At 52.5% G+C, this 12,786-nt stretch overlaps 1 protein-coding gene across 2 annotated transcripts, besides 3 other annotated features; it reads left to right on the top strand.

Moving 5' to 3' along the window:
• On the top strand, nucleotides 37-11,804 carry IRGQ (immunity related GTPase Q). Of its 2 annotated transcripts, none has more exons than NM_001388309.1 (3): nucleotides 37-169; nucleotides 831-1,362; nucleotides 2,804-11,804. In NM_001388309.1, exons 2-3 carry the CDS (start codon nucleotides 833-835, stop codon nucleotides 4,143-4,145), a joined length of 1,872 nt encoding a protein of 623 aa, NP_001375238.1. In that variant the 5' UTR covers nucleotides 37-169; nucleotides 831-832; the 3' UTR covers nucleotides 4,146-11,804. The 2 variants fall into 2 exon arrangements, with proteins under 2 accessions (NP_001375238.1, NP_001007562.1); NM_001007561.3 differs by having other exon boundaries at nucleotides 37-189.
• Nucleotides 362-431: an enhancer, noted in NCBI's record as "active region_14729". NCBI's record gives its function as "activates an Ori minimal core promoter by ATAC-STARR-seq in GM12878 lymphoblastoid cells {active_cell/tissue: GM12878}" and the evidence as "EXISTENCE:reporter gene assay evidence [ECO:0000049][PMID:35858748]".
• Nucleotides 617-1,413: an enhancer, noted in NCBI's record as "H3K27ac-H3K4me1 hESC enhancer chr19:44098910-44099706 (GRCh37/hg19 assembly coordinates)". NCBI's record gives its function as "activates a minimal SCP1, AML or CMV promoter by ChIP-STARR-seq in naive H9 embryonic stem cells {active_cell/tissue: H9 hESC(naive)}" and the evidence as "EXISTENCE:reporter gene assay evidence [ECO:0000049][PMID:30033119]".
• Nucleotides 6,348-6,437: an enhancer, noted in NCBI's record as "active region_14728". NCBI's record gives its function as "activates an Ori minimal core promoter by ATAC-STARR-seq in GM12878 lymphoblastoid cells {active_cell/tissue: GM12878}" and the evidence as "EXISTENCE:reporter gene assay evidence [ECO:0000049][PMID:35858748]".

Raw genomic sequence — 12,786 nt, 5'->3', positions numbered from 1 at the left:
TCCAAGACACACCCCCTTGGGAGAGGGAGTGACGTCAGGTTAAAGCTACCGGGACGGGTCCCGGCATCTCTAAATCACCGCTCCCTGGCCTCTTCGGCCTCCGTCCGCCGCGGCCCAGGGGCCGGGCTTCTCAGCTGCTGACCTACTGCCACCGACTGCGCTCTCTCCCGTGGGTCGGCTTTTTGCTCGGTTGGTGATTTGGAAGGGGGAAGGGGAAAGATGAAAATAACAATGTGTCCGAGGGAGGAGGGACTGGAAGCCAGATTTCTGAGGTTTTATTTTTATTTATTTTTCAGAGAGGGTCTTGCTCTGTCGCCTGGGCTGGAGTGCGGTGGTGTGATCACGGCCCACTGCAGCCTCCAAGTCCTGGGCTCAAGCGATCCTCCCGCCGCAGCCTTCCGAGTAGCTGGGGCTACAGGCGCACACCACCATGCCCGGCTAAATTTTATTTTTTATCGAGACGGAGACTCTACCAGAGAGTCCCCCCACATGTTGGCCAGGCTGGTCTCGAATTCCTGGCCTCAAGCGATCCTCCGGCCTCGGCCTCCCAAAGCACTGGGATTACAGGCATGAGCCACCGCGCCTGATTTCAGAGTTTTTGAAGCAGAAAGGGAAACGTTTCCATCTAGAGGGAGGGCGGACAGACAGGACGCCTGGGATTCTGGGGGAATAGGGTCTGGGCTCTGGATTTTTTAGGTCCTGGAGAGTGACACTCAAGAACCGAAGGGGACAGGGTGAAGGACTGAGGCCTGGGTTCCGAGTGGGGCGGCTAGGAAAGGAAAAGGCTAGGTGCTCCCTGACCCAGGTCTTCTCTACCCGTTGCTTTCCAGCCATGCCTCCGCCGCAGGGTGACGTGACCGCCTTGTTCCTGGGGCCTCCGGGCTTGGGGAAGTCCGCGCTGATCGCAGCGCTGTGCGACAAGGATGTGGAGACGCTCGAGGCCCCCGAGGGACGGCCGGACTCCGGGGTTCCCAGCCTAAGAGCTGCGGGCCCAGGCCTTTTTCTGGGCGAGCTGAGCTGCCCACCCGCAGCGCCGGGGCCCTGGGCGGCGGAAGCCAACGTGCTGGTACTGGTGCTGCCCGGACCCGAGGGGAACGGGGAACCGTTGGCTCCAGCCCTGGGAGAGGCAGCGCTGGCCGCCCTGGCCCGAGGGACCCCGCTACTGGCTGTGCGGAACCTCCGTCCTGGGGATTCACAGACTGCCGCCCAGGCCCGTGATCAGACAGCAGCTCTGCTGAACAGCGCGGGGTTAGGAGCTGCGGATCTGTTTGTGCTACCGGCGAACTGCGGCAGCAGCGACGGCTGCGAGGAGCTAGAGCGCCTCCGGGCGGCGCTGCAGAGCCAGGCAGAAGCGCTGCGGAGGTGAGTGCCGGCTTTCTGGCTGGGTCCGTTAGTCGAGACCCTAGGCACCTAGGTGCGACCATGGAGGTCCATGAGATCCCTCCCCCAGTGAGTTTGGGGCAAGGCTTAGCTCTATTATTATTATTTTTTTTTTTTTCCTGAGAGACAGGGTCTCGCTATGTTGGCTAGGTTGAATTTGAACTCCTGGCCTTAAGCAATACTCCCGCCTCAGCCTCCCAAAGTGCTAGGATTACAGGCGTGAACCACCACACCCGGCCTTTTTTTTTGAGACAGGTTCTCACTCTGTCGCCCAGGCTGGAGTGCAGTGCCGCGATCCTAGCTCACTGACGGCCTCCACCTCCTGGGCTCAAATGATCCTCCTGCCTCAGCCTCCAGAGTAGCTAATACTACAGGCTGCAAAACAGCATCTCACTGTTTCCCCAGGCTGGTCTTGAACTCTTGGCCTCAAGCCATGCCCCCACCCAGGCTTCCCAAAGCCCTAGAATTAAAAGGGAAAGGCTTAACACTTTATCTGCTGGGGCCCTGAGGCTCCTTTTTCCAGGCCCTGCCCCCACCAAGGTGATCCACCCTCCTTGGCCTCCCAAAGTGCTGGGATTACAGTCGTGAGACTCTCTGCCCAGCCCCCTGGAAGATTTTACCTGAAAACTCTAATCTTTGAGCCCTCCCCACCATCAGTTTTGTTTTCAAGCACCTAAAGCCACACCCGCAATGAGCTTTATTATTTTGGGGCATCCTCATCTACCTCCTTTCTCCAGCTCCCTCTTGTTTCTGTGCCCACTTGCTGGCTACCTCCTGGATTTGCTCTACCACCTGCCAGCCTCCTCATTTTAAAGACTTTAAAACGAGGCTCAGAGAGGGACAGTCCCTTGTCCCAGTACACTGTCATCTTTTTTCCTTAGCCTCACCTGCCCGGGAGTCACCTTAGCCACTCCCCCTTGGTAAGAACTGGTAGATGAGATTTCTCCCCTCACTGACCCTCCTTAGGCCCAGCCCCTGAAAAGAGTGCCCTTGGGGACCTTGTCTCAAATAGTGCTGGACTTGTGTTTAGGCCACAATACAGTTGCGATTCTTTGTTCTAGGCCCCACCCTCTGTGAGCTTTGTCCCACCCAGCACAGCCGACCCTTGGAAAAACCCCGCCCCCAAATACTGTATTCCATGGAAGTTTTAGCCCAATCCCCATTTTAGGCTGGGGTGGGAAACCTGACCTTATGTCCACCCGTCCAATAATCAAGACTCCATTATTGCTTGAAGCCCCACCCATATCATCACTGCCTCTCCCTATCTGGTTTCTATTTGCTGTGCCATCAGTCTGGCCCTTCCCTTTCCTACCCCTGCCCCATTCTGGGATCATTAGGAAAGCTCTGCCCTTGTCATCATAGCCCAGTCCATGTCACCCAGCCCCTCTTCTACCTTTGACCCTGTCCCTTCTTGTCCCCACAGGCTCCTGCCACCGGCGCAGGATGGCTTCGAGGTGTTGGGTGCAGCAGAGCTAGAGGCTGTGCGTGAGGCCTTTGAGACCGGCGGCCTTGAGGCTGCGCTGTCGTGGGTGCGCTCAGGCCTGGAGCGCCTGGGCAGCGCACGGCTAGACCTGGCCGTGGCTGGCAAGGCTGACGTGGGCCTTGTGGTGGACATGCTGCTTGGATTGGATCCTGGCGACCCAGGCGCTGCGCCTGCTTCGGTCCCCACAGCACCCACTCCCTTCCCAGCCCCAGAGCGCCCGAATGTGGTGCTCTGGACCGTGCCTCTGGGCCACACGGGCACTGCCACCACCGCGGCCGCCGCCTCTCACCCAACGCACTACGACGCCCTCATCCTCGTCACCCCTGGGGCCCCCACTGAGAAGGACTGGGCCCAGGTCCAGGCCTTGCTGCTACCAGATGCGCCTCTTGTCTGCGTGCGCACAGACGGCGAGGGCGAGGATCCGGAGTGTCTGGGAGAAGGCAAGATGGAGAATCCCAAGGGCGAGAGCTTAAAGAACGCAGGTGGAGGGGGATTGGAGAATGCACTCAGTAAGGGAAGGGAGAAATGTAGCGCTGGATCGCAGAAAGCAGGCAGCGGGGAAGGTCCTGGGAAAGCTGGCAGCGAGGGTTTGCAGCAGGTTGTCGGCATGAAGAAATCAGGTGGTGGCGACTCAGAGCGGGCCGCTGCGTTAAGCCCGGAGGACGAGACGTGGGAGGTGCTGGAGGAGGCGCCGCCGCCAGTGTTCCCCCTACGGCCTGGCGGACTCCCAGGGCTATGCGAATGGCTGCGGCGAGCGCTCCCCCCAGCCCAGGCAGGGGCACTGCTGCTGGCGTTGCCACCAGCATCTCCCAGCGCTGCCCGAACCAAGGCTGCGGCGTTGCGAGCCGGGGCGTGGAGGCCAGCTCTGCTGGCTAGTCTGGCGGCGGCGGCGGCACCACTCCCAGGGCTGGGCTGGGCATGCGACGTGGCACTTCTGCGGGGTCAGCTGGCGGAGTGGCGACGGGGCCTGGGGCTGGAACCCACGGCACTGGCTCGACGTGAGCGTGCCCTGGGCCTGGCTTCTGGAGAGCTGGCAGCGCGCGCTCATTTCCCAGGCCCGGTGACGCGCGCCGAGGTGGAAGCAAGACTGGGCGCCTGGGCGGGCGAGGGCACTGCTGGGGGCGCAGCACTGGGGGCTCTCTCCTTCCTGTGGCCTGCGGGTGGTGCAGCGGCGACAGGTGGCCTGGGCTACCGAGCGGCTCACGGCGTCCTGCTGCAGGCTCTCGATGAGATGCGGGCTGATGCTGAGGCTGTGCTGGCACCCCCTGAGCCTGCCCAGTGAGGAGTGGGAGGGGGCTTGGGAGTCCAGACTCTGACAGGGGATGCCTGGGCTTAATCCTGGGTGCTTGAAGGGGATGTGGACTCTTGACTTCCAGCTGGGATGTGTGACTTCTTATCACCTGGATTCAGAGAGTCTGGGGGACAGGAATCCTGATTTTTTTTTTTTTTTTTCTTTTTTTTGTGAGACGAAGTCTCTTGTTGCCCAGGCTGGAGTGCAATGGCGCGACCTCGGCTCACTGCAACCTCCGCCTCCCGGGTTCAAGCGATTCTCCTGCCTCAGCGTCCGGAGTAGCTGGGATTACAGGTGCCTGCCACCACACCTGGCTAATTTTTGTATTTTTAGTAGAGACGGGGTTTCACCATGTTGGCCAGGCTGGCCTCGAACTCCTGACCTCAGGCGATCGACCCGCTCCGGCCTCCCAAAGTGCTAGGATTACAGGCGTGAGCCACCGCCCCTGGCCAGGAATCCTGATACCTTTGGGAACCATGGTGAATGACATCTAGACCCTTCTGTCCTGAAGGGAGTTGGTGGCCCAGACTCTAGCAGGGACTATGTCTTTGTCTCCTAGGGAGTAGAAACTGGAGTTACTGGATGTTTAGTCCTCCAGGGAGGCTGGTAGAAGTCCTGTTTCCTAATTGGTGGGGAGGTGTCCATGACTGGGACCTGAACTCCAGTATAGGGGAGGGAGACCTGAGCGCCCCAGGGAGCTGGAACTCTTGGGCTTCAGAGCCTCAGAGGGAAACAGGGTCTACATTTCTCTGGGAGAAAAAGCCTGCACACAGGTCCCCAAGGAGCAGTGGGCTTTGAATCTTGATGGGGTGGCGGAGGCCCCTGGGGTCTGAGACTTCCGGGGTTCTAAGATGGCTGTGGACCTTGGTTCCTAAATATTGGGTAAGGGGAGGTCTGCATCTGGAGGAGGGATCGGGGGCTTGTGCGAGAAAGCTGGAGACTTCTTGATCTCTCCTGGGGAGTGGATGGGTTTCTATAATTGCCCTCCAAAAGCATGTAGGGAGGGTGGTCCCACAAAAATGAGGTGAGGTGGGTAAGAGGTCTGGGCATGGTGGGCTCTGGGAGTAGCCAGGGACCAGGAATGAGGTCTTTTGGGTGTGGAAGGGCAGTAAAGCATACCTCAGAGACAGCTCCTCCAAACCTTGTATTGGGATCCCGGCAACTGCCTCTGTGAGTGTGACTGGGAAGGGATATGACTGCCTTCATCTTCTAGGTGCTGAGCAATTCAGGTGATCTCTGGGGAGTCTGTTTCTCTGTCTCTTTTCTTTAGGAGTTTCTATCTTTTTTTGGCCTTTTTCTCCTGGTATTTAACCATAACCCTTTATGGCCTTGGTGTTTTGTGCACCTTCCTTTTCAGAAGAGCAGCTGTACTGCTGCACTGGTCCAAACACTTCTGTATGGACACCTCGGGTATCCCCAAGAGGCTCTGCTTTCTGATGTACATAGAGGGTGCTGCATTGAGCCAGGGGCCCACCAAATGGGTGGTCAGGCACTTGAGACCATGGGAATATGCCAGGAGTGAATGAAGCAAAGGCAGAAACCACAGTGCCTGGAATGTTCTAGGCTGCTAGCCACATGTGGGGGAAAAGTTGCAGGTTACAGAATTCTTCAGTGTCAAAAACAGAAAAGGAGGATCTGAGAATCCAAGCGATAGAATCCCTTTTGTCGTAGACAGAAAGAGCAAAGTCCAGAGAGGGCAGGCTTGAGGCCCAACAGCACACAGTAAGGCCCTGTGGGTCTGGCCCTTGCCTATTCTCATTCACTGCCCCTTCCCACTCCTGTCCAGCCTGATAGACTTTCCTTCTTTTTTTTTTTGAAATGGAGTCTCACCTTGTCACCCAGTCTGGAGTACAGGGATGTGATGACTGTAGCTGAGATGACAGGCATGTGCCACCACACCTGGCTAATTTTTGTAGTTTAGTAGAGAAGGGATTTCACCCTGTTGGTCAGGCTGGTCTCGAACTCCTGACCTCAGGTGATCCACCCGACTCAGACTCCCAAAGTGCTGGGATTACAGGTGTGAGCCATCATGGCCGCCTGACTCTTTCTGATGCCTGAGTGGCTACCTTGAGTCCTGCCTGGGGACCCATGCACCTGCTGTTCTCTTTCCTTCAAGGCTCTACTCACAACTTCCTGTTCTACTCTCAAACCTTCCTGTGACGGGCTCAGTCAGATCTCAGCTCACGTATCCCCTCAGAGAGGACTTCCCCTCCCTGACCACCCTATCTGAAGTAGCTCACATTCCCCCACTATTCATTTCGGCCAGTTGAGTTTCCTTGTAGCAATTATTACTGTCAAAAATGATCTTATTTATTTACCTGTTTATTGGCTTTTGACCCGTTGCCTGTCCTGTTCTCTGTTGTTTCCCCAGCATCTAGAACAATAGGTGCCTGACACAATAGGTGCTTCGTAAATATTTATTATTATTATTATTATTTTAGAGACAGGGTCTTGCTCTGTTGCCCCGGCTGGAATACAGTGGGATGATCATGGCTCACTGCCATCTCCAACTCCTGGGCTCAAACGATCCTCCCACCTCCGCCTACAGAGTAGCTGGGACTATAGGTACACAGCACCAAATTTTCTGTAGAGACGGGGGTCTTGCTTTGTAGCCCACACTAGTGTTGAACTCCTGGCCTCAAGTGATCCTCCTGCCTTGATGGGATTACAGGTGTGAGCCACCACACCCAGCCTAAATGTTTATTTCATTGGTCAGTGTCAGAACTAGGATTGGAATTTAGATTGTTAATCTCTTGCCACAAGATAGGAAAATGGAGCAAGATGAGGAGAAAAAAGCATTTAATGGGAGAGAACACCCTTGTCTGAGGTCAGGGACCTGGGAAGCAAGCACGACTTTGCCACTGTCACTGTGTGTTACTTGGACAGTGCCTTATTTTCCCATCTGTGAAATAAAAGAGCTGGATAAGAACCTTAGTTTTGAGATCCTGTCTCCCTTAAAAGCTGAAGACAAAGGTAACTGATCCAAGGGCAGACAAGGGATGGTACCATCATCTCCAGCTTGGACTCCCACTGCTGACAAAATTTGTCCCTTCAAAGTTGAGATAGCTACCATGGGGAAGAGCACTTAGTTCTATACTGAATGGCTCCAGGCATTTTCATGAAAGCTCTTTCAGCTTTGGGGAAGAATATTCATCCATATCTTTACCCCATCATATTAGTGTCTAAGCCCTGCAATCAGGCATGTCAGCCACGTGATGGAATGGGAGGGCTGCAGGGCAGCACTGTCCAGTAGAAACGAAATGCAAGCCACATATGTCATTTTAAGTTTTCTTTTTTTGAGATGGAGTTTCACTCCATCACCCAGGCTGGAGTGCAGTGGCACGATCTCGCCTCACTGCAACCTCCGCCTCCCAGGTTCATGTGATTCTCCTGCCTCAGCCTCCTGAGTAGCTGGGATTACAGGCATATGCCACCATGCCTGGCTAATTTTTGTATTTTTAGTAGAGATGGGGTTTCACCATGTTGATCAGGCTGGTCTGGAACTACTGACCTCAGGCCACCCGCCTTGGCCTCCCAAAGTGCTGGGATTACAGGCATGAGCCACCGCGCCCAGCTAATTTTTGTATTTTTATTTTATTTATTTATTTATTTTTTGGGAGACGGAGTCTTGCTCTGTCACCCAGGCTGGAGTGCAGTTGTGCGATCTTGGCTCACTGCAACCTCAGCCTCCCAAGTAGCTGGGATTACAGGCATGCACCATCATGCCCAGCTAATTTTTGTATTTTTAGTAGAGATGGGGTTTCACTGTGTTGGCCAGGCTGGTCTTGAACTCCTGACCTCAGGTGATCCACCGGCCTCAGCCTCCCAAAGTGCTGGGATTATAGGCGTGAGCCACTGCACCCGTCCTAATTTTTGTATTTTTAGTAGAGATGGGGTTTCACCATGTTGGCTAAGCTGGTCTGGAACTCATGGCCTCAAGTTATCTGCCCACCTCAGCCTCCCAAAGTGCTGAGTAAGCCAAGTTTTCTAATAGCCACATTAGACAAGTAAAAGGAAACAGGTTAAATTCATTTTAACATGTTTTACTTAACCCAATGTATCCAAAATAGCATTTCAACATGTCATCGGTTTTTTAGTTTTTTTTTTTTTTGAGATAGTGCTTCGCTTTGTTGCCCAGGCTGGAGTGCAGTGGCACAATCTCGGCTCACTGCAACCTCCACCTTCCAGGTTCAAGTGATTCTCCTGCCTCAGCCTCCCGAGTAGCTGGGATTACAGGCACCCGCCACCATGCCCACTAATTTTTGTATTTTTGGTTAGAGATGGGGTTTCGCCATGTTGGCCAGGCTAGTCTCAAACTCCTGACCTCAGGTGATCCACCCACCTCGGCCTCCCAAAGTGCTAGGATTACAGGCGTGAGGCACCGTGCCTGGCGTCATCGGTATTATTTAAATGAATTATGTTACGTTCTTTTGTGCTGTCTTCAAAATCTGTTATATATTTTACACTTACACCAAATCTCAATTACCATGGTACATTTTTATCTGAAATGCTTGACCTTTATTTTGATTTCATAAAATTCATAGTTGGAGAAGTAGATTCACATATCCAAGTTGTTCCAATTATATAATAGTTTTCCAAAAACTGAGATGGGTGTCCATTTTTTTTTTAAGTAAAGATGCAGGTCTGGTTATGTTGACCAAGTTGCTGGGTTGTTTTGTTTTGTTTTGAGACAGAGTCTCACTTTGTCACCCAGGCTGGAGTGCAGTGGCATGACCTCAGCTCACTGCAACCTCTGCCTCCCAGGTTCAACTGATTCTCTTGCATCATCCTCCTGAGTAGCTGGGACTACAGGTGTATGCCACCATGCCTGGCTAATTTTGGTATTTTTCTCAGAGACGGGGTTTCACCATGTTGGGCATGCTGGTCTTGAACTGCTGACCTCAGGTGATCCGCCCACCTCGGCCTCCCAAAGTGCTGGTATTACAGGCATGGGCCACCACACCTGGCCTCAGCTGTTCAATTAAAAGTAAATACAACTTAAAATTCTATGTTTCATTGGCAGTAGTGCAACATTAATACTGAGTAGCCACATGTGATTAGTGGCTATGGTATTGGACAGGGAAGGTACAGAATACTTCCATCAACATAGAAAATTCTATCAGTCTAGCTCTAGGGGCAGATAGTCCTTCCACTGACTTGGGCAAGTCACTCTACAAATGGCATCTACCTCACATGGTTATGGTGAGAATTCAGCGTATGTATGTACATGCAGGCACACAATATGCACACAGACACATAACATAGTACACCCTTTCCTGAAAAGCCTGACACATGGAGCTCAAACATGAGTGCCACCCACCCCTGGGCAGCACCAAGATGGCTCTAGTCTGGGTGCCTTTGTCTCACCCCCATGCCTTTGCTCGGAGTGTGCTCCTCATTTTTCTGCCACTTTGACCCTGTCTCTGATTTGGTCCTGTCTGACATCACTGCTATATGCTTTGCTCCTCTCAATTTCCTCTGCCCTCATGCCAGCAGGAGTCATGCCAGAGATCATATCTGAGAAAGCAAGACAATTTTGTGTGTGTGTCTGTGCCCATAGAGGAGTGCTGGTTGTGTTGATATAGTTGTAGATTGGTTGTGTTTACACAGTTGTATATATTGACACCCTTGAGTGTTATGACTTCTTTTGGGGGTGGTCGCCTTTTAAATCATAACTTTTAATGGGATTCCATTTTAGTCTTTGTGAAGACATAAGGTTGTTGGCAGGCATCTGTCCCTGGGAGCATCCAAGCAGAAAAGACTAAGACTCCCTTGTAGACAGATCACTGGCCGCCACTGAAGTGTGTCTGCATGGCACCACAGGGCTGGAAGACCCTTGAAGGCAGGAATTCAAGGAAATGTATGATGAATTTTGGCATTGCCATCAAAAGCAGAACAGGCATGGAAAACTTGGGTGAGTGGGCGAGACAACCTCCTCACCACAGCAGAGTTCCATCCATGCCTGGATAATGATGGAGGGATTTGTGTCCACTGCAGTGGGGAACCATGAAGGACACATCAAGGGTGTGGTTGGCCTGTGGTGCTCTTTGGAGGAATGAATAAAAATGAATAGAAATCCTATTGCGTGTCTGTTCTTTTGGAGTTTGAGGGAAAAGAAAGATCCTTGAGATTTTGACTGGGCTGGAAACCTAGACTCCAGCGTCTGGGGATAGGAGGGATGGTGGGGAATCCGCTGGGAAAAACTGGGCTGTGATCAAGAGAATTTATCAGTATCTGAGTTTTTCCACCCTGGAAGGAGTGCGGGCAGACTTACTGTTTAAACATTGGGAGCTTATGATGGTAAAGCGCCTTAGTTCTGGAGCCAGGTATACCCATTAATGACCCCAACTGGGCCAGCCTTTCTGTAGCCATGCCCTTGGATTGTTGCTCTCCTTCTAGGTTTGACTATGTGGTTTGCTTCAGCCACTAGAACAATAGCAAACATGATACAAGCAGAGGCTTGGAAAGTGCTTATGCGGCCGGGTGTGGTGGCTCACACCTATAATCCCAGCACTTTGGGAGGCCAGGGCGGGCAGATCACAAGGTCAGGAGATCGAGACCATCCTGGCTAACACAGTGAAACCCCGTCTCTCTACTAAAAATACAAAAAATTAGCTGGGTGTGGTGGTGCACACCTGTAGTCCCAGCTACTCGGGAGGCTGAGGCAGGAGAATAGCTTGAACCTGGGAGGCGGAGGTTGTAGTGAGCTGAGACTGCGCCGCTGCACTCCAGCCTGGGCAACAGAGCGAGACTTCTCTCAAAAAAAAAAAACCAAAGTGCTTATGCACTGGGACTTCCTCTCTTGCTCCCCTTGGGACCCCTACCACCACTGCCACATCCAAACCCCGGGCTGGCTGAGCATGGTGGCATATGGGTATAAACCCATAATCCCAGCACTTAGGGAGGCAAAGGTGGAAGAATTTCATGAGCCCAGGAGATCGAGACTAGCCTGAGCAACATGGCAAGACCCCCATCTCTACAAAAAAGCAACAACAACAGAATTAGCCAGATGTGGTGGTGTGCACCTGTGGTCCCAACTACATGGGGGAGGCTGAGGCAAGTGGATTGTTTGAGCCCAGGAAGTCGAGGCTGAAGTGAGCTATGATGGCTCCACTGCACTCCAGCCTGGGTGACAGAGCAAGACAATGTCTAAAAAAATAAAAAGAAGGAAAGAAAAGGAAAAGATCTGGGCTAACCTGCTGGGTAATAAAGGGAAAAGAGACACATGGCTCCGTCATCCTTGATCCCTGCCACCCATAGCCAACCAACCTCTGAAACAGAGCTCCCTAGCTGATAGGCAGCTGAACCCAGCTGAGACCAGCAAAAGAACTGCCCAGCTGATCCCAGACCAAGTTGCAACCCAGAGAATCATTAACTAAATAGGTGATTGTTCTAAACCACTAAATTTTGGAGTGGTTTGTTATGTAGCAAAAGCAACTAATACAGACTTGTTCTCTCTGTGTGTGATGTGGTCTCTTTCTCCCCAACAACATGACCCAATGATTAAAATCTTAAATTCTGCCACTTTTTAGCTGTGTGACTGCCAATGTGACAGCCTTCTGAGCCTCTGATGTCTCCTGAAAACAGAGATGTGAATAATAGTGCCTATGACATAGAGTTGTGAAAATAAAATGAAAAACAGCTTCTTAAGGGGTCATGGTGGTCATTTGTGCTATTAATGAAACATGTCCAGTTCTCTGCCTTCTGACCTTGGGGCAGGATCTCACTTCCTGGTGCCCATGTGGCTGGGTGGGCCATGTGACTAGCTCCATCCAGTGACTTGTATTATGTCACAGCATGTGATTACCCATGGTAGACTTCCTGTGACACAGAAATTGGCCACATTCAAGTTGGTGGATGCTTTATTTATTTATTTATTTAAGACAGGGTCTCACTCTGTCACCCAGGCTGGAGTGCAGTGGCAAGATCTCGGCTCACTGTGGCCTCCGCCTCCCGGACTCAAGCAATCCTCCCGCCTCAGCCTCCCAGGTGGCTGGGACTACAGGCGTGCACCACCACGCCTGGCTAATTTTTTTTTTTTTTTTTTTTTTTGTATTTTTGTAGAGACAGGGTTTTGCCATGTTGCCCAGACTGGTCTCAAATTCCTGGGCTCAAGTGGTCCTCCTGCCTCGGCTTCCCAAAGTGCTGGAATGACAGGCGTGAGCCATCGTGCCCTGCCGGTGGCTGATTTATGACTATGACGAGGAAAACACCCTCTGGATAGTGCTAGGGTGAAGGAAAAGTTTACCTTTTGTGAATGGGCAGTCATTCAGCAAATATCCACTCCTCTCCCTTCTACTGGAGGGGGAGTATATTTCCCTGCTCCACTGATGGGTTTCACCATATGATTTACTTAATGGAATTTTAGCAGACCTAACCTTAGCAAGGCCCTTAAGTGCACTTGGCTTTTGTGCTCCCGTGATGTGCCATGAGAACATTTGCGAGGGAGCTGCTGATCCCAGAAAATTGTGGAATCTCATGGAAGAGACCTGAATCCTCCCGAACTGGAGCCAAAGCAGCCATCCCACAAACCCTTAGAAGAATGCTTGTTGGTATAAGTCTCAGTTTTCATGTTGGGAGGCCGAGGTGGGTGGATCACTTGAACCCAGGAGTTTGAGACCAGCCTGGGTAA

This window comes from Homo sapiens, chromosome 19 (genome assembly GCF_000001405.40).
Source record: "Homo sapiens chromosome 19, GRCh38.p14 Primary Assembly".
Lineage (NCBI taxonomy): Eukaryota > Metazoa > Chordata > Mammalia > Primates > Hominidae > Homo > Homo sapiens.
The sequence above is the reverse complement of the archived record's forward strand: the minus strand, read 5'-3'. Positions and strand labels throughout refer to the sequence as shown.

Coding starts and splice junctions, on each gene's coding strand:
- IRGQ (NM_001388309.1), top strand. CDS start 833: ATGCCTCCGCCGCAGGGTGACGTGACCGCCTTGTTCCTGGGGCCTCCG. Junction 1,363..2,803: donor CAGGCAGAAGCGCTGCGGAG/GTGAGTGCCGGC, acceptor TTGTCCCCACAG/GCTCCTGCCACCGGCGCAGG.